The following is a 21,767-nucleotide window of genomic DNA, read 5'->3' on the forward strand; positions in this document are numbered from 1 at the left end:
CAACTGAGAACCGCTTTTTCAGAAGTTTTGTAGTTTTACGTTTTACATTTATGTCTAAGATCCATTTTGAGTTGGTTTTTGTATATGGTGTGAAGGAAGCATCCAAGCTGTATTTTCTTACATATGAATATGTAATTGTTATTCTAGCACCATTTGCTATCTTTTTTTCCAGTGGATTTCATGACATCTTTGTAAAAAAATTAATTGACCTTGTATATGTGGGTCTATTTCTGCACACTATTCCATTGATTTACATATGTATCCTCATGCCAATATTACACTCTTAATAACTGTACTGTCTTAAAATCAGGTTGTGTGATTTTTCCCACTTTGTTCCTCTTTTTAAAAATTGATTATTTCAGATTCTTGGAATTTCTATATAAATTTTAGAATTAGCTCGCCCAATTTATATTTTAAAAGCCTGCTGGAATTTTTTATTAAGATTTCATTGAGTCTATAAATCAATTTGAAAATAATTTTGACATCTTAACAATATTGAGTTTTCTAATCCATAAACATGACAGTTCTCTTAGTTTATTATTTCTCTTTAATGTCTTCATCAATGTTTTGCTGTCTTCAGTGTGCCAATCTTACACGTTTTGTTAGACTTACTGGTATTTTTAGAAATTTCTATTTCCTATTATTCATTATAAGTGTATAGAAATATAATTGACTTTTTATATTGACCTTGTGTCCTATTACCTTGCTAATCTCACTTACTAGTTTTAGTAGCTTTTTTAAAAAAATATTTCCTTTAGGACTTTATATGCAGAGTTATATTAACTATGCTTTGTTTTTTACTTTTAAATAGATATGTCATTTCTTTTTTTCCGTTTTTTTTTTTTTTTGTTTTTTTTTTGCTTTATTACACTGGCTAGGATCTGCCTATTCTTCTACTTGATCTACTTTGTGTTCTGACCCCAATTCTTTGAAAGGAAGTATCACCAGCAATATTTATGTAGCTGAATACAGTGAATACTTTTCTGTCCTCCTCTTAGGTACGATAAATAGCATTTGACACTATTATTAATCATTACATAACTTCTTTAAATTATTTCCTTTCTTGGGTTCTTCTGGTTTTTTTTCTACTCATCTGGCTGTTCTCTCTCAGTATCCTTTGCTGCTTTATCTTCCTTTGTTAAACCTTAGAATCAGAATTTGTAAGCTGTGGACCCAAGTATGACTCAAATGTGGTTTTCAAAAACCATTTTTTTTGGCATAATGTTTTAACACTTTTGAAATAGAATACTTTAAAGTGAACATGCATAGTTAGCCACAAATCCCATTACTCTCCAATTCCAGGTTGGATTACTTCATTTGTCTTACCCCCATACCCCTATACACATTTAGTTTTCAACCTCTGCTTGAAACGCTGGAATGTTCGCGGTCTCATCCAGATCCAGGACTTTAAATACATCTGTATACTGATAAATCCCAAAGATGTATCTCAAACTTTTTTTCTCCCTCAAAATTTGTTTGTATTTGTCAGAATGCTTATATGTTGTCCCTCCCCACATCTGTCAAAAATATTTAGAGATTTGTTGGCCTTTTTATATTGATTTAAAAGGTATAACACAAAGAATATTTGATGATTGAAATGTATCAAGAAAATACATAATGCAGAAAGTTAAAAAAGGTTGAACAGAGGTTGTTTTAAAAATTCAGTTTATAATGGGAAATTATAAGAATATGTTTGCATAGGAGAGGAATGATTCAGTAATGAGAGAAAAATGGGTGAAGGAAAGTGGGAGAATCACATAGGAAGGAAATCACTGAAAAAAATTTGAATGAGATAGGAAGGCCTTTGAGAGGCAGAGTGACTTTTTTTTATTTTCAAGTCATAAGATAGAAATCTGGTAATGGGGATTGTAGATCTGGTGGTTGAAGACAAGGGAGTTCCTCTCTCCTGCTCTACAATTATTGAAGGTCATCAGTTGAAAATTAGGAGCGTTCAATAGTTCTGAGGAGGGAAGGTATGAAATCTCAACTCACCAGGAAAATGTAGTAGGATTTCCAGGCAATATTGAGTGCCCTTCAGGTTTAGTGACATCAATTTAAAGAAAAGCCAGTCAGTTTGGGAGTGTGATTTCTCCAGCAACGTGCTGCTGATTGGATTCATGCAAGGAGACGGTTCCATCAGTGTTAGCTTTTGCTGAGCAAATAGGATAATGGGAGAAAAACGCAAGAAAGTTAAGGGTGTTTGCAAGGCAGTGATTATAAGGATGGCTCTGAACTCTCAGAGGGGCAAAGAAGGAAATACAGATAAGAAAGGAATAAAGAAAAGTATAAATGTGATAGGATAGTTGTCTCCGTGAAGTTAAAAAATTATTGCAGTAGAGGAACTAGAGAGTAAGTGATCTGTGGAGGTCAGAGGATGGACAGAAAGACTAATGGATACATCTGTCACTATTAGAGAGGAGTGAACTATGGGATACAGGCTCAAACCATGGTCAGAGAGGCTAAGAGATGACTCGGGACCAGTGATTTTTGCTTTAGTGAGTCACAAGATGATTGGAATTCTGCTTTAAAACCTTTTGTTGGCTCACTAACCTGTCCCCTATAGAAAGGAGTGCCCTCTAAAGAAAAAATGTAAAATTAATCATTCTCATATTCCTTTTATTTTCAAGTATCAGAAAGGTGAAAAGCATGTTTCCAGTAGCAATTTGATGTTATAGATCTGATTAATTTATTCAGTGTAGAAGGGATTGAGGTATTTTGGAATGTCAAAAGTCTGCTATTCCATAAATGTAGCATTAATATTCTAGAATATTTCTCTCCACATTTTTTTCTTTGCATGTATTTGTATAACTGATATTATGTAGTGGATAGTGGGTATCTTTTTTCTTAAACTTACTATATGAACATTTTGTTAATGAATTTTAAATATTAGAAATGTCTCTTCAAAGACAAAAGTCTTGCTGGAAAATGTTTGCGAAAATATTTGTAAATTGTAATACATCTTCTTTTTATGGATTCTGTACCACCCGGGAATTAAAAGATACCTATATTCTCTTAGAAACATTTGAGTTGATCAAGGAAGAAGAGTCCAGTAGTGGAATACTTACAAAATAATGAAAATACATTATATGTCTAAAGTTGCTGTCAATATAATGCCACTTTCTCATGTTTTTATTTAAATAAATAAAGCAAATTGAATGAATTATTTAACCAAAGATTTTACATAAAGACTCAAAAACTTGTAATCCCAGCACTTTGGGAGGCCAAGACAGGGGAATCGCTTGAGTCTAGGAGGTCCAGACCAGCCTGGGCAACATAGTGAGACCCCTGTCTCTACAAAAATTTTTAAAAAATTAACTGAGTGCCTGCCAGTAGTCCCAGCTACTCAGGATACTGAGGATGACAGGATCACTTGAGCCTGGAGGCAGAGGTTGCAGTGAGCTGAGATTGTGCCACTGTATTCTGGCCTGGTTAACAGAGCAAAAGCCTGTCTCACACACACAAAAAAAGAAAAACTGCAAATAGAGGAAACGTGGTAAAGAGAAAAACAAGTTATAAAATATAATACAGTTGTTAAATTCAAGAAATAGAGAAAAAATAGATATATTCCTAGTAAATAGAGTTGCGAAAAAAATCTCAATGAAATAGACTTTCTACAAAACTATGAGTATTTCATAGAGGTAGACTAGGATTACTGAGGAGGAAATTGAGAAAGTTATGTTAGTACCAGCTATCAAAAAGATTTTTGGAACTAATAGATTTGCTGATAAATCTTTTACATTTTTAAAGAAAATTGAAGTTGCTTAAATAAATACAGAACAACGTTATGAAACAAGAAAATGAGGGCATTCTAAAATACTGATTAATCTTAGTTGTGACCATATATGTGTGAAAATGTTAAAGAATATGCTAGCAAACATTTAAACGTCTGATCTACCACTACTGTGTAAGAAATGTGAACATGTTTCAATATAAAGAAATTTTGTGACTTGGGAGGCTGAGGTGGGAGGATTAAGCGCTTTAGCCCAGAGTTTGAGTCCATCCTGGGCAACATAGCAAGAACCTGTCTAAAAAAAAAAAAATTATTGCTATCCTTTATCAGGTTTAATTGGGGAAAATGATGCTATAACATAGTTTGAGCTAATTTAGTGTTCATTTCTAATCAAATTATTTGAAAATGAAAATACTTTCATATCATGATAGACTATACTTAATTATTAACTAATATTAAATTCAAAAGGAAAATACCTTTTAAACTTGTCACCATTAGTATTTAATACGACTTTAATTCAGCATTGTTATTTAGTGTGATCTGTAGATTGGTGCCAGTCCATGATTTGCTTGTTACTGGTCTGTCAAGAGGTAAGTATAGAAATTGAGAGGAAGTGTTTAGAAACTTTTATAGTAGTTGGATAGAGTAATTTTATCTTTTTTTAGACCTAGAAATCAAACATTTGGGCTTGTGTTTTATATCTTGGGCTTATAGTAAGACTTTTAATTTCATTTTTCTAGTTATTTTTACTGGTTTTAAAAATTAGCTTATTTCTCATTAATTTTTGTTAGCATTTTAGTAAAGTGTCAGTATGTGATGACTTGGAAGTAGGAAAAACTGGTTCTTCCCTATAGGTAGTTTGAGAAGCAGTTCTCTGGATCTTGCCACTAATTTAAGAGTAAATATTTGAAGGAGACAAGTGTATCACATTCATGGGTGATATGATAATGTTATATATACTGAGAAGAGCCAGGGATCGTTTAGAAACTAGTAGAGCTAATAAAAATTCAGTCAAGTGAATTCCCAAGCTAAAGCTGAAGTGAATGCTTCAGTAGGTCCCATGAATCGGCCCAGCCCTTGCGTGCACCAAGTTTGGCCCCTCTAGCATCGCCGCCACGAAGAAAGTGGCTCAACAGCTTTGGCTGAAGGCCCGGCTCAACTGTGTAAAAATTTCCCAGGCAGCTGCAGACTTGAAACAATTCTGTCTGCAGATTGCTTAACATGACTCTCTGCTGACTGGAGTATCTTCAAGTACAAATTCCTTCATACCCCAGAAAGTCTGTTCCTTTTTGTAGTAAAATGAATCTTTCAGAGGTTTCCCAAGCCACTTCTCATGATACAGTGAATATTCAAAAGAGAGCTACATTTGAAGCCTGTACAAAAGCTTATCCCCGGAACACATGTGCCATAATATACAAACTTCTACTTTTGTCAGTCCTTAATATCTACCTCTCTGAATTTTCATGAATTTCTATTTCACAAGGGTAATTGTTTTATATACACTGGCAGCGGCGTACAATACAACTTAGTATAAAAGGTTTTTTTGTGTTAAAAAAAGATGTGTAGTAATGGGAAGAGGTCTAAAATGTAGTTAATATTGTGAGAACAACAGCTTTACATTTTCTATACTTTGATGAGAATGTCATTAAATAGGAAGCTATATAATACATGAGTGGACATTTTCATCTAAATATTAATATGTATGGTAACTCAGTTAATGACTTAGCATGTTTTCCTTTAACATTTTTCTAGAAAACAGAATCTTGGCATTGTCTTCCTCAAGAAATGGACTCTTCCCAAACCTTGGATACATCCCAGACTAGGTTTAATGTGAGAACGGAAGATACTGAAGTGACAGACTTCCCCTCTCTGGAGGAGGGCATATTGACGCAATCAGAAAATCAAGTAAAGGAACCCAACAGAGATCTCTTCTGTTCTCCACTGCTAGGTAATGCCTGTTTATTTTAACTAGTAGTAATACCTCACATTTGTAAGTTTTGCGGGGACTGCAAGTCTTGTAACTTTCCCCTTTTTGAGTTAAGGAGCTCTGTAGAGACCTACTCAGAGGGATTAGCTTATTTCTGTTTTGTTTGTTTGTTTGTTTTTTACTGGCTAGCTGATCTAATTATATTAAGTGTGCAGTTGCCTCTCATTTTATCACTTCCCGTTGCTCACAGAAGGCAGAAAGGTGATAACTGTCTACTGTGTGTGCCTCCTCAGTCTTGAATTTGCAGAGTTTTTGGGATGAATAGTATACTTTGGTTATCTCAGCAATGGAGACTCCATGATCCCCCACAAAAAACAAAAAACAAATGTTCATATTTACCTTTTTGATTTTTAGAATTAATTAAGGCATATGTTATTATCCTTAGCTTTCAAACCAAAAATTGAGATAAAGAGGTTGAGTGGCTTGTCTGAGGTAGATCTTGCTGCTTTCCTCTGTTTAGTATGGAACTGATTTATTAGCTCTTTATAAAAGATAAACTTTAAGTACTTTTAAAATCATTAAGGGATTCAATTATGAAGATGGTTTTATAGTTTTGTAGAGAAGCATGAATAGAACTTAATTCAGCAAGTTCTTTGCCAACATAAACTAATGCTATCCAAATCAAGGTATTAGTGCCAACGTTTTCTATGATGTGGATTATTAAAGTCAATTTTAGGTCCACATTTTAAGAAAGGTTGACAAAATTAGAGTACCTTTGTGGGAGGAGAGGACTATCTTTTGATAGACAAAAGAGAAGACTTTGCTATGGTCAAATATTTGAAGGGCTGTTATGCTAAAAAGGAAGCAACTTATTTTTTATTCATTCATGTAACAAATATCTAAGTGCCTCCTATGTGTTTGATGCTAGGGGTATATAGATGAAAGCTACCTCCTCTTCTGGGAAGGCAATCCAGTAAACAGAAAATAACAGTACCATGGGATTTGTATTATAATGGTGTAGAGCAGGAGTCTGCAAACTATAGCTTACAGGCCAAGTCTTGATTTTGTACTGTCCATCTGCTGAGAATGATTTTTGCATTTTTAAAGGATTGTAAAAACAAACAACAGTAGTATGTATGACCAACAAAACCGAAAATATTTACCATCTGACCCTTTATTAAAAAAGGTTTGCTAACTCCTAGAGTTTAAAATGGATACATAACTTAAAGGGAAGCTATTTTTCAAATTGATGTAAAAAAGAGCTTTCTAATAGAGCCATTTAATACTAAAAAAGGCTATATAACAACAACAAAAAGTGAGCTTCATGTCACTGCAAAATGTCTAGCAAAATTCTGTATTAGGATTTTAGCACTGGGGAGGAGATTGTACTTCGTGACCTAAAATGTTTTCTAATGTAAAGTTTTATAACTCTGGCTTCTCATTTACTATAGTTAGGGCAGAACATTTTAAATTATTGGAGTAGATTCCTGGATCTCATAGGCAGAGGAAATTTTATCATTGCTGTTTTGTTACGCATAAGTACTAACATTGTGATAAATAGGCTCTCGCCAATGGCAAATGTAATTGATGATGGCTGGTGCCAGAATGGTTAGATACCTCAAAAAAGAGGGATGCAAGCCAGTAACAGATATCCACACTTGAGGAAACAAGAAGCAGTTGAAAGCTGTAAGAAAAAGGCATGGCAAGTAAAATACACCACCTTCCCATCACACACACACAGATAATGTTGTACACTTGAGAATCATTAACTCTTCAGCTTTGGCCTGCTCCTTTAGCAAATACATTTGCCTATTTATGTGATTTAACTGTCCAACTCCACCCTGAGATATTCTTAAATATTTAAGGAGATGCTGAAATGCTGCTTGTAACTTACTTGTTACTTACTATTCCTTACTTATACTTAAATAGCTATTTTAGGTACTGAGGATTTCTGTAGGTTCTGAAACCTAGTTAGGGTTAACTCTAATTTTTTTTGAGAAAAGACTGTCAGATTCTTTAAATACTCAGCCTGCAGTTAACTGGAAATAGTAAATTTGCTTTACTTGCCCAAAGGTCCCCCTTGTAGCATCAGCTCTAGTGTATTTGGGGACTTTGTTAAAAACTCTTCATGAGTTTTAGAGGGGTGAAGGACTGTTACGGAGGTTTAAGACTGCTTCTCTGTGCCAAGACCAAAGAGGAACTGTACCAATTGTTCCTTGGTGGCAAAGGTTATTGTTACATATCAGTTTTTCATTTTTAATTAATTCATTCAGTAAATAAATAACTCTCTTTTGAGTACCTTTTAAGTGTAGCAGGTACTTTGCTAGGCACTGAGGATATAGCTATGGATAAAGTAGACACAGTTGACAATTTAGATGGGAAGTGGATAGACTGAAGATTAAAACAAGAGGGTGATGAATTATATGGAAGGTATGCAGGGTATATAAGCAGTGACAGTATGTGTTTTGACTAAGTAAAGGACAGATGACAACATGGTGAGCTCTGTGAACTCTAGATTTGCAGTAATTTCAGGGGGAACAGTAATGTGAGAGAGGAGTCCTCACTTTGTACACAGTGTTGCAGGCATTCTGAAATCAAGAAAGTATACTGATTAAAATAAGAATGATTTAAGTCAACATTCAGGAAATCACAAGAATTTTTTTTTCATTAAAGCAGCAGTTCAAACTTTTTGGGTAACAGGATTCTTTTACACTTTTAAAAATTACTGACAACTCCAAAGAGCTTTTGTTTATTTGGGTTATTGATATTTCCCACATTAGAAATTAAAACTGAAACATTTAAAATGTATTTATTAATTCATTGAAAAAGTACATATTTTATAAAAAATAACTTTTCCAATACAAAAATGTTTAGAAGTATGGCCATGTTTTACTTAAACAATTCTATAATGTCTGACATAATAGAAAACATCAAGACTCTCATGTCTGTTTCTGTATTCAATCTGTTGCTGTATCATATATTCTGTAGCTTCTGGAAAATGTCACTGTATCTTTTTGAGAGAATGGGAGTGAATAAGGCATATGATATCTTAATATTATTTTGAATAAAATTTTGACATTAGGTACCCCCTAAGAGTGTCTTAGGGCCCAGGAGCTCCTGTGCTATGCTTTGACATAACGGGTGTAGTCTATATTATGTAAGATGGGAAGAAACACTCATAATAGTTAAGAGCGTTTGCTAAAAGTTGAAATGCTTGGGTTCAAATCTCACTCTGGCATTTCAGCTACTTGAATGTGGACAAGTTACTTAATGCTTTGTAAGTTTTGTAATCATGTTTCCTCACCTATAAGATATATATAATAATACCTATCTTTCAAGGTTGTCATGAGGATTAAATGAAATATTGTGTGTTAAGCACCTGGACCTTGTCAGACTCTCAATAAATGGTAGCTGCTACTGCTGTTGCTTTTATATTATTATTCTAATGCTTGTAGAATTCTCCATATGGCAGCATATGTAGGTGCTTTAAAGTATTATATACGTAAGTAAATAATCAATTTTCAGCATTACCCAGCATTTAATATTTGAAACTTTACAGTCATACAAGATAGCTTTGCTTCTCCTGATTTGCCTTTGCTGACCTGTTTGACACAAGACCAAGAATTTGCGCCTGATTCTTTATTTCATCAAAGTGAACTAAGTTTTGCACCTCTGAGGTAGGATGATTTATTTGCATGTAACCTTTCTCACTTCTTGTTCTATGTTTTTACTAATATTAGTGACTTCAGGCTAAGGTGGGACTTTGAGGTGGGGCTTAGATACTCTTAGGACACGCCCTGAAGGTAACAAAGTCCTGTACTAAGACTTGATGCATATTAATTTGGCAGAGTAACGTATGTGTAGAGATGAACCAGATGACAGTAGTTTATTTAAAAATAATTCCTAATATATTCAGGCATTTCAGGCATATTTTAATTTAGAAGACACACTGGATTTTCCTTCTTATAAACCTCCCCATCTGCTGCCCATCATCTCTCTCCTCCCTCTCACCCTTATTCTGCAAAAAGCATTTATTTCTTGTTCACTAACTTGTTTGGCACTCTCATTTTGTTCAGCTGTTATTGAATGAGACTAGTTAGCTCTCCTTACCTTATAGGAGGTGTCAATATGAAGTAAGAAGATTTTTATGAACAGACATATCCAAATGAACAGATACTCCAAATTCATGTCCTTTAGAATAGTCATAATGGGAGAAAAGTCTGGAATTTTCAAAACATATTTGGAATTATTCAAGAATATGTTTTCTTCTTTTAGAATTGAAAACCCACCTTAAATTAAAAACTATAGATGTTTAGAAAGTAAAAAGTAACCTCTGTCCTTATACTATATATTTACCTGATATCACTTTTATGAAAAGTGATCTATACACATTAGATCATCAACTAATGATTAAGTTACTGTTGTGTTTTGGGAATAGATCACTTCTTAAGTGGTTTCTTTCTCTTTCTCTTTTTGTTTGTTTGCTTTTTTTTTTCTTTAGATGGAGTCTTGCTCTGTTGCCCAGGCTGGAGTGCAGTGGTGCCATCATGGCTCACTGTGACCTCTAACTTCTGGGCTCAAGCAATCCTCCTGCCTTAGCCTCCACAGCAGCTAGTACTACAGGCATGTGCCACCATGCCCAGCCAATTTTTAATTTTTCTGTAGAGATAGGGTCTTGCCGTATTGCCAAGGCTTGTCTTGAACTCCTGGCTTTAGGTGATCCTCCTGCCTCAGCCTCCCAGAGTGCTGGGATCATAGGTGTGAGCCACTGTGCCTGGCCTTGCATGGTTTCAAGAGCACAATAAATGATGACTAGTAAAAAAGTTAACGCAGGTTAAATGAAAAATCATGGTAGGCGTCATTATGAAAATCACATTCTGTGTCTATTGTTTTAGGAGAAGTCTGAGATAATATCAGGGTTATAGGGTGGTAGTTCACCTTTTAGTTAAAAAGAATTTGCTTTACTCAGTCATTAGCCATCTTAGAAGAGTCTGAAATTAGGAGAGCTGTGTTTTTCAATACACTTTTCAAATAAACTTGATTTCAGTGACATATGTATTTTTGTGTTAGTACTTAAAAATTAAATGTTTTTAATGTTATTTATTTATTTATTTTTAACTATATATTTTCAGGGGAATTCCTGATAAGTCTGAAGATACTGAATGGTCTTCTCGACCATCGGAAGTTAGTGAAGCTTTATTCCAGGCTACTGCAGAAGTAGCTTCAGACTTAGCAAGCAGTCGCTTTAGTGTATCTCAGCACCCGCTTATAGGCAGCACAGCTGTTGGGTCTCAGTGCCCTTTTTTACCTTCTGAACAAGGGAATAATGAAGAGACTATTTCGTCTGTTGATGAACTGAAAATTCCCAAAGACTGTGATCGTTATGATGATCTTTGTTCATATATGTCATGGAAGACACGAAAAGATACACAGTGGCCTGAAAACAATTTAGCTGATAAAGATCAAGTTTCAGTTGCAACTTCATTTGACATAACTGATGAAAACATAGCTACTAAAAGAAGTGACCATTTTGATGCTGCTCGTTCATATGGGCAGTATTGGACACAGGAAGATTCATCTAAGCAGGCAGAAACATATTTAACCAGTAAGTACCCTGATTCTTTTTCAGATTCATCTGACACAATTGATAAAAATAAAATTCCCAAGGGAAGTAACAATTTTAGTGTCCCCTTTTCCTATGTGCCATGGAACAAAGAGGGAACTTTGCACCACCCAGAAACGTGTGTAATCAGTAAGGACTGTTTTTCCTTTCCATGTGAAGTTGCTGCTCATCATCATCATCATAAAATGTCATATTCTTTCTTGTGTTGTTTGTTGGAAAGAAGAGGAAAAGGGGTTCCCTTGACTTCTGATAGTCATTATTTTGAGAATGTTTATTTAAGGGCTCCAGCTGAGATTGAGGTGAAACAAAAGATGGATTCTTTGGAGGGTTATGAAAGAAATGAAGAAGGTTTACAGAAAGAATCATCTCAATGTTTTGAACTAACGGAGACTAGAAATAATTTAGTATCTTCAGAAGTGCAACCCAGATTCTTAGAAATACAGTATATTAGGAATGTTATAGCTCCTGATAATTCTGTAAAAGTTTCAGAAGCACATGTACTCTCCAGGGGACATAATACCTCTAAAATGGAGGCTTCTGGTTGGATTGTTATATCCAACTTGGATGAGATATCAGAACAACTGTATTTTCAAGAGGAAAGAAACCAAAAGGGAACTTCTCTTTTTGGTGAGAAAAATATTGATGCTGCTGAAAATATAGCCTTTGAGGCAGTTATTGCCTCTATTGAGCCTTCTAAGAAAGAGAGTACAGTAAATGAAATCCAAGCTGACATCAATAAATATTTAACAGATGACAGCCGAGAGAGAGCCAAAAAATCCAGATCTTTCTCCATTAAATTATAATGATGAAACCTCTTTATTTGATAGGCTTAAACATCCATGCTATCAGTCTACTCCTGGGGTGTTTGAACCAGCAGCTTCAAAACCATTGTTGCATAAAAAGGGTAATAATGATAGCTTCCTATACTGGCATCCAAATTTAAAATTACCCCCTAATGCTCTTCAGAAAATGTTCATTAAGCCACTTTGTGTTATTCCAGAGCTTAAGTCATCTGCTTCTTTGAGTGAAAAATCTTACAACCAGGCTGTTGGTCTTGGCAAAACACAGTCAGCTTTATTTCAGTGTGATATAGGCAATGAACCATTTCTTCCCTTTGGGAAGATAAAGTCTGTTCCTTCTCTTGACCTTGCAGAGAAGGTAGGATCTTCAGATGTTATTTATCATGTGAAAGTATTAACTTCAGAATCTTTGGTTTTACAAGATTTAAAGCAGCCAACCTTTGAAGAAGTTGCAGATTACTCAAACTTTAATTTGGGTAAGGATGTTAACTGTAGAAATGCCATTAAAGGTCCACCTGCAGCTGTAGGAAGCAGCTTTTCAGCAAACTTGGTGGCATGTGATGCAAAGTCACAAGGTGCTTGTACCATTGACCAGTGATGCATCATTAATTGCAGTCGCCCAAGAGACATTGCTGAAAGCTGATATAGGCCAAGGTGAAAGTCCTTCGTGTGTGGGAGCTGAGCCTAGTTTTACTATACATACAATTATGCAAAATGACTCCTATTTTGTAGAGGGCCTGCAGGGGAAGGTTGAGTCTGACGTCATTACTCTGGATGGCCTAAATGAAAATGCTGTTGTATGCAGTGAAAGAGTTGCTGAACTACAAAGAAAGGTGAGACACAATAAAATGATAGTTGTAAGAAACGTGGCCTTTTTCAGTATTGTTTCAGGAAATGGTATTGTTTGTTTTTATTTTACTTTTTACTGTTTCCTGGGTACATGACCAATGTCATTTGACTGGTGAGTACATTGAGCTAGCAGCTTTAGAGAAATTTCATGGTGATCTAGAGATGCATGACAGCTCCCTGCACTGGCAGCCTACTTTACAACTACCATCTGAGAAGGAAAGCAATTTTGAAAAGCCTGTAAGTTTTTCTATTTGACATTTTTTTCTGGGCGGGGAGGGAATGTTTTATTTGAAAAATTTCCAAATTTTATTTGAAAATACTTTATTTGAAAAATTATATCCTTCAGTACCAGCTTGTAACTTGTACCTGTTCTTCATCTGATATCCAGGAATATGTTCCATTAGAGGTTGGTATAAAAGAAATGTTTATGTTTCATAGACTGTAAGACTTAGTTCTGTGGTGTCTTGGAAAAGGCATCCCATGGGGCTCCAGGCCTTTCATATTGAGGCAGCCTAACTCTTCCTAGTTGTGCCAGCAAGAGTCTTTAGACAGTGTTAAGATTAGGCTTATTCATGGGAACATCCAAAAGCTTGTACTTTGAATGTTTCCCTCTGGTCTTCAATGCACAAGCCTTGAAACAGTCCCTGGAATATTTAAGTATTTCTGTTTAGAAGCTCTTGAAAGACTTGACTTCAGAGGTGTCTTGAAAATTGTAAGACCCATGTTTGACCAGGAAGGATAATGAAGTGCTTAACGTCCAAACTGGCCAGTGTCTCTTCAAAGGGAAGTATCTCCTTCCCAAATGAGCAACATACTAATGTATATACATGTCTCTTCCCTCTCTCTATTTATATCATTATTACCATTGTGTGTGTGTGTACTAGAAACTGGCAACTCTAGGATGTCATAAAAATTTTATATCAGCCTTTTTTTTTTAAATTAAGTTCTGGGGCACATGTGCAGAACGTGCAGGTTTGTTACATAGGTATACAGGTGTCATGGTGGTTTGCTGCACCTATCAACCTGTCATCTACATTAGGTATTTCTCCTAATGCTATCCCTCCCCTAACCCCCTACCCCGCGACGGGCCCTGGTGTGTGATGTTCCCCTCCCTGTGTCATTCTTTTATAGAAGGCTTTTATTTGCTTGGATCCTTGGATCCCTTGGCATTAATGTTCCTCTGGTCCCGTTGAATGAATATCCTCTTTTGTTGTCTGGTACTGTAAGTCCCAAGGTGGGCCCTACTTCCTTGTGATATAGCCTTATATCCTGTTATTCATTAAATACAGTTAGATAAAATAGTGATGTACTTAATGTTACTTCTCTTTTCCTATGTATAAGATTGGTATGTTTTTGTAAAGCTCTATTAGTTTGGGTTACAACCACATTTAGACCTTTAGGTTCAGATTGTTGGTAGAAAATGAACAAAGATATTATGATGAACTTTTATTTATAATTTATTACATTTATTAAAGTTTTTTTAACACAGAATCACTAGGTTTATTTTCTTCAGTATTCCAAACTAGGCATTTTTTAATTTTAATCTGATAACTGGGGATGAAAATGATAGTTAACACTTTGTGCTCAAGTACTGTGCTAAGAGGTTACATGTATATATCAATTCGTTTTTGTCCTCTGTCAATCCTATCAAATAGAATTGTTAGAGATTATTATCATCCCTATTTTGCAATTGACACTTAGAGGATTTAGGAACTTGCTCATAATTATTCAGCAATTGGGGGAACCAGTATTTGAAACTAACCATATCTGTGTACTTAACCACCATACCATAAACTGTTCCCCCTCCCCCCACCTTTTAACTATTCTTGGTGAAACTAAGGTTAAGATTTTGCATTATTTTGGCAAGAGTAGAGGTTTTGAAGGAGATTGCCTAAAGTTGAGTTCAATAACAATGAGAAACAAAGTAACAACTTTTAAAGTGTTCTAAATTTTTAATACTACTTTTGTGACTTACATCAACCTTTCATGTAGATAAAATGTATTTTAAAAATAAAGATATATAGGTTCAGTTAATGTGCAGAGACTAGCTTTGACCACTGCTCCAAATTTTAATCTGTCCTTAAATATAGCCTGAAGTATTATTCTTTCAATCTAAGGAAGATGCTATTATTCCCTGTATTGTCTTTCAGTTGTAGCTCTATCTGTCTTAGTCTTAGATCTAGGAGTTATTTAATGTCAATATCAGAAAAGCAAGGAGCCAGATGTGGTAGTACTTTTTCTGCATGGCTTAGCTTGCTTTCAGGGGCTTGCTTACTCCTTGGTTTTTCCTTATGCTCCTCATCTGTGTCACAGAAGAGTCATTCATAGTTACTTGGTTCACTTTTATATCTACTCCTCATAAATGATTATTTGGGTATCCACGTATGTATGATGGAGCTTGGAACTGTGAAAAGAACATAGAGATTTTGAGTCAAAATCCAGTTCAGTTACTTTGTTAGCCTTGTGTCTTGAGCAAATGACTTCGGAGGATCACTTTCCTGATCTGCATAAGGAAATAGGAATAGTAATAACCTTATACATCGTACTATTAAATGGGGTAAGTTATGTAGCATTTATATAGTGCCTGGTTGTTAGTTCTCTTCACTTTGCTGAAACTAGACTACTAGAGTCTCTGGTGGTTTCCTACTTTCTATCATTATTTTGTTTTTCTTTCTCCTTTTTCTTGGTAGCAGCACATAATTAATATGCTTTTTTTTTTTTTTTTTTTTGAGGCAGAGTTTTGCTCTTGTCATCCAGGCTGGAGTGCAATGGCACAATCTCAGCTCACTGCAACCTCCATCTCCTGGGTTTAAGCAGTTGTCCTGCTGCAGCGTCCCAAGTAGCTGGGATTACAGGTGCCTGCCACTATGCCTGGCTAATTTTTTGTCTTTTTAGTAGAGACGGGGTTTCACCATGTTGGACAGGCTAGTCTCGAATTCCTGACCTCAGGTGATCCACCTGCCTCAGCCTCCCAAAGTGCTGGGGTTACAGGCGTGAGCCACCGTGCCTGGCCTAATATGCTATTTTAGTACCTCTTGTTTTGGCCATTTAGCTCTAAAAATTATTTAAGGTTTAAGCCTTAGATTTCTTTTCTCTCCCCTTCATATCCCCCCACCTTTGGAGACCTAGTTGCCTGTCTCTGTGTGGATGATTATCACCTCTGTTTTTATACCCTAATATTTGTCTAATTTATTTTGCATGTTTTCTTGTGAACATTGTCATCACCCCAAATTCAACTTGCTCTATAGCAAAATAACTCATGTTTTTCCTAAAATTAGACTGACTTGTAGAGTTCCTGAGTTTTTATGAAAGGTATTAGTATTTTTCTGGTTTCTTGGTCATCTTTCATTCTTTCTTCATTATTGATTAAACATTGGGAAGATAAACGAATCTTGATTTCTGTTTTCTCCTGGTTCTTTCCATTTTCAATTAGCAATGAAGATCTGCTGGTTTCTTAAATAAATACTTCTCATATTTTTCATTTTACATTTTCTTTTGTATTACCTACTTTTTTTTTTTTTTTTTGAGACAGAGTCTCCCACTGTTGCCCAGGCTGGAATGCAGTGGTGCGGTCTCAGCTCACTGCAAGCTCCGCCTCCCGGGTTCACACCATTCTCCTGCCTCAGCCTCCTGAGTAGCTTGGACTACAGGTGCCCGCCCCCATGCCCGGCTAATTTTTTGTATTTTTAGTAGAGACGGGGTTTCACCGTGTTAGCCAGGATGGTCTCGATCTCCTGACTTCGTGATCCGCCCGCCTCGGCCTCCCAGAGTGCTGGGATTACAGGCGTGAACCAACGTGCCTGGCCGGTATTACCTACTTTAATAGTTCTATATTTTGAAACTTTAACATAATGAAATTTTTTTGACGTCAAGCTTGTAATAAAAATTTTTCTTTCTGTGTTTGAAAGCTGTAGAAGAAAAACTGCTGTAAACTATAAACACACACTGTCTCTCACAAGTGTCTATATATTATATATGGTCATGCCACATAATGATATTTCAGTTAGTGACAGACTGCATATATGATGGTAGTCCCATAAGATTAAAATACTGTATTTTTACTGTACCTTTCCTATGTTTAGATACACAAATGCCACTGTGTTACAGTTGCCTACAATATTTAGAACAGTAACATGCTGATAGGTTTGTATCCTGGAAGCAGTAGGCTAGACCATATAGCCTAGGTGTGTAGTAGGCTACACAGTTGTAGGTTTGTGTAAGTCACTCTGTGATGTTTGCACAACAACAAAATTGCCTGACAGCACATTTCTCAGAACATACCCACATCATTAAGTGATCTATGACTGCATATTATATATATGCATATATATTTATATATATTTATGTGTATGTATATATGTGTATATATATAGCCTGTACTTCAGAGAAGTTTCCTGTAGGAGTGAGGTAATTGAAAACTATGAACTTTGTGCTATGTGGAGAGCAGGGCTTCTTAGCAGCCTTATCATTTTGAGTTGGATAATTCTTTGTTATGGTGGGAGGCGTGTTTCCTGAGTATTGTAGGATGTTTTGCATCATCCATCCCTGGCCTCTATTCACTAGATACTAGTAACATCCCCTCCCCTCACAAGTTATGACAGCAAAAAATGTTTCCAGGCATTGTCAAATGTCCCTTGATGGGTACAAAATCTTCACAAGTTGAAAAGTAGAGAAACCTGTATGGGCAGTAGATGTAGATATAGAAATAGATATGGAATGTTCATTTCCACACTTCACATGGCTTCCTAAGAATGTTCATTACTACACAATGAAAAATTGATGAAAGAGGATAGAAAAATTCATGCTTATGTACATTTTTAGACTTCATCCTGAGAAGATGTGACTGAAATAATCTTTTTAGGGAAATAAAGACAATCTAAAAATGATATATATTTTTATGTGAGGGTGCACTGTGAATTTGGTGAAAAGTTGTACATGTTTAGGTATTAATGTCACCAATATTGGTTTCTAATTTCTTTTCTAGCAAGAACTTGTGACTTGATGAAACATTAGGAACTTCTTTTTGAGCAGTTACCCTTTACTTCACTACCAATTTATAGTTTCCACTACTTTTGTTTTAAGAAGTTTGAGGACTTATGCTTGTTGGTAACCGATCACAGTTATAGTTCTTTGATACTCTCATTTTTCTTCTAAACATTTGTGAGTTTCTAGAAAATATTCCTGTTTTCTTTTTCCTTCTTACTGTTTCTTGTCCACAGTGCACCTCTCTACCTTAAAAAGAAATACCTGAGCTTGTCCAGAATAATCCCATGGTTCAAATTCTGCGATGATCATAAGGAGCAAACTTCTGAGTAACAGAACACTTCTAAGCATACTATCTATAATATTTTATCTAGACAGATTTCTAAGCCCTCAGGATGATTTAGTCTTCTAGAGTTGACCCAATAAAATATGACCTATATATGAATTCAGAAGGTTTGAGATTATGATCTTAAGTAACTAGTATAACTTCTTAGTGTTCCTCTTTGTAAAAATGAAGGATTATTTTTAGCAGATGAGGTTTGAAATTAATATCTTATTTTCTTCATTTCTTCGTAGGTGGGTCATTCTAATCTGGGCATTAATGAGTCTTTTTCATTTTTATTGCCTTCATTTGTTCCACATAAGCCAACAAGAGAGTCGGAATATCACTCTTCAGATCTCAGAATGTTGAGGATGTCTCCTGACACTGTGCCAAAGGCTCCTAAACATTTAAAAGCAGGTACGTAGAAAAAGGAGATAGTAAATGTCCTACTTACGGATACCTTGTGAAAAAATATCTTGTTAGGTCTATCTAATTTTGTATTTTTTAATATCTATAATAATTATACTTCAGATTAGATGTGTTTATAAATCCTGTCTTAGTCTCTTTAGACTGCTATTACAAAAATATCTTAGTACTTTAAGTATGGCTTATAAACAACAGAAATTTGTTTCTTGCAGTTCTAGAGGCTGGTTCCAAGATCAAGTGCTGGGAGATTCAGTGTCTTGTGAGGGCCTGTTTGTCATAGATGACATGTTCCTCTGTGCCCTCCCATGGTGGAAGGGGCAGGGGGTCTCTCTGGAGTCGTTTTTTGTAATGGGCACTAATCCCAAACATGTGGCCTGTGTCCTCATGATCTAATTGCTTTCCAAAAGCCTTACCTCCTTAATTTCATCACCTTGGGGATTAGGATTTCAACCTATACTTTTCAGGGGGGACACAAACATTCAGACCATCACAAGTCCCCTGATGTTTTATTAGAGGAATCATTTGGTTTTTCATCGCATTCTACATGGCAGTGTTTAGAACTGAATTATATGGAGGAGTCTGATGTTAGAATCTGTTTATTCCTTTGTGTGACTTGAAGGGAAAAAGGAATTGATTGAGCCCAAGATGACAAGAGTGGATGCAGATAAGTTTGTAGAGAGGAAATTGAGAGAAATCAGTTTTGAGGTAAAAGCAAGATTATCTGCTGAGGGAGGTGAGTAGTGGTGGAATTAGGTTAGAGGCATTGAGGAGAGTGGTTTGGTGAAGACTTACAGTTTATGTTGAAGTGAATTTGAGATGGAGCTGACCAAGGGAAAGTAAAAGGATTGGAGGGCAGTTCTGAGAAGTCAGCTCAGGTTAGTGATAATGATTTTATAATATTGTCAGCCTGTATAGAATCTCTGATTTGTTTTTCCTGCTAACACTCAGGAATGGAGATGATGAATTACAGTATTGATCCTTGGTTCAGGAATACATTGAATGGGTATGGTAGAAGGATAGCAGTCAAAGAGAGAAGAGTTGATCACCTATTGGTTTCAGCCTACATAGGGAAAGAGAAGCCAGAAGAGTTGTTATTCTAGGAGAAAATAGAAGGACCAGAGATTTCTTTATGAAGTTGATTAGATGAGGTGGGAATAAGTTACTGAGAGCACTAGAAGAATAGGTAATTTTGGTCAGATTGAATAAGTAGATTTAAATGAGGATCAGTTTGAAGGGTGATGAAATCCATTAAATAGCCCTGGGATTGGATGGTAGAAATTGAATAAAAATTACTGGAGTAAATAAAATTTTGGGTCAGGTACAGTGTCTTATGCTTGTAATCTCAGTACTTTGGGAGGCTGAGGTGGGAGGATCACTTGGAAGAGTCTGGAAAGGATTGGTATTAATTGTTTTTGAATAGAATTTACTGTGAAACTACCTGGGCTGTTCTTTGTAGGAAGTTTTTAAATTGCTAATTTCATCTCTTTCCTTGCCATAAGTCTATTTAGATTTTATATTTTTCATGAATCAGCTTTTGCAATTTGTGTCTTAAATAGAATTTGTCCATTTAGCTAGGCTATCTGTTTACATATATCTGTTCATAATATTCCCATGTAATCTCTTTCATTTCAGTAAGGTTAGTTACAATGCCCTCTCTTTCATTCCTGATTTTAGTAACTTAAGTTTTCCCTTCTTTTGTTCTCCCTTTGGTGAATCTAGTTAAATTTTGTCAATTTTGCTGATTTTTTCAAATAAACTGGTTTCTTTATTTTTTTCTAATCTTTATTTTTCTTTTCTGATTTTTGTTTCATTTATTTTCATTCTAGTCATTATTTTTCCTTCCTTCCATTTGCTTTGGGTTTAGTTTGTGCTTTTATTCTGTTTTTTAAGGTGGACAGTTAGGTTATTGATTTAAGCTCTTTCTTCTTCTTATTACAAATATGTATACAAATTGATAAATTCCTAAGCACTGTGTTAGCTGCATGTCCTAAGTTTTGGTTTATTATATTTTTGTTTTAGTTCATCTAAACTTATTTTCTAGTTTACATTGTGATTTTTCTACATTTACCCTTTGGTTATTTAGGAATGTGTTGTTTAATTTCCTTCTGTTATTATGTTTCATCTGGTTCAATTTTTGTTGGAAAACATACTTTGTATGATTTCTGTCTTTAAGTTTTATTGAGGCTCGTTTTATGTTTTAGCATGTAGTTTATTCTGTAGAATGTACAGTTTGTACTTGAGAAGAATGTGTATTCTGCTGTTGTTAGGTGGTGTGTTCTATAGATGTCTTTCAGCTCTAGTGGGTTTAGCTGTTCAAATTTTCTGTTTCCTTGTTGGTCTTCTGACTAGCTGTTTTCTCCATTTTCAAAAGAAGGGTACTGAAGTCTTCAACTCTTTTTGTTTAATTGTCTATTTCTCCCCTTTTTTCTCTCAGATTTGCTTCACATATTTTGACATTATGATGTTAGATCCATATATGTTTATAATTGTTATATATTCCTGATGAATTGACCTTTTTTTGGAGACAGAGTCTTGTTCTGTTGCCCAGGCTGAAATGCAGTGCGTGGCTCACTGCAACCTCTACCTTCTGGGTTCCAGCGACTCTCGTGCCTCAGCCTCCTGAGTAGCTGGGACTATAGGCGTGTGCCCACCATGCCCAATTAATTAGAATTGACCTTTTAATTGTTATAAATTGTTCCTCCATATTTTGAGTAACTTTTTGTTTTAAAGTCTGTTTTGTCTTAGGTTAGAATAGACACTTCAGCTCTTATGGTTGCTGTTTGTATGGTTTATCTTTTAAAATCCCTCTACTTTCAACCTATTTGTATTATCAAAAATGATGTATCTGCTGTAAAGAGCATATAGTTAAATCTTGAGTTTTTAATTTTAAAATTCTATCTGTTTTTGCCTTGTGATGTGATTATTTAATCTGTTTGCATTTAATGTCATTATTGATGTGATTGGATTCACATTTTCTGGCTTACGTTTGGTTTTTCATGTGTCTTGTGTCCTTTTTCTGTTCCCCTTTTATTATTGCATGAAGTGAATATTTTCTAGTATGACACTTTCAGTTTAATTTTTAAAATGATTTTCTAGGTAGTTTTTTT

At 35.3% G+C, this 21,767-nt stretch overlaps 1 protein-coding gene and 1 pseudogene across 2 annotated transcripts in view; both read left to right on the plus strand.

Annotated features, from left to right (window-relative positions):
• The window catches only part of ALMS1 (ALMS1 centrosome and basal body associated protein), a 224,162-nt gene that overhangs the window by 27,883 nt on the left and 174,512 nt on the right, over positions 1 to 21,767 (plus strand). For both annotated transcript variants that reach the window (NM_015120.4, NM_001378454.1), the window contains 5 exon segments: positions 5,483 to 5,678; positions 9,217 to 9,334; positions 10,790 to 11,262; positions 12,813 to 12,913; positions 18,558 to 18,651. In NM_015120.4, coding sequence (NP_055935.4) covers positions 5,483 to 5,678; positions 9,217 to 9,334; positions 10,790 to 11,262; positions 12,813 to 12,913; positions 18,558 to 18,651 — 982 coding nt within the window.
• On the plus strand, positions 4,788 to 5,266 carry GNG5P4 (G protein subunit gamma 5 pseudogene 4; annotated as a pseudogene).

This window comes from Homo sapiens, chromosome 2 (genome assembly GCF_000001405.40).
Source record: "Homo sapiens chromosome 2, GRCh38.p14 Primary Assembly".
Taxonomy (NCBI): Eukaryota; Metazoa; Chordata; class Mammalia; order Primates; family Hominidae; genus Homo; species Homo sapiens.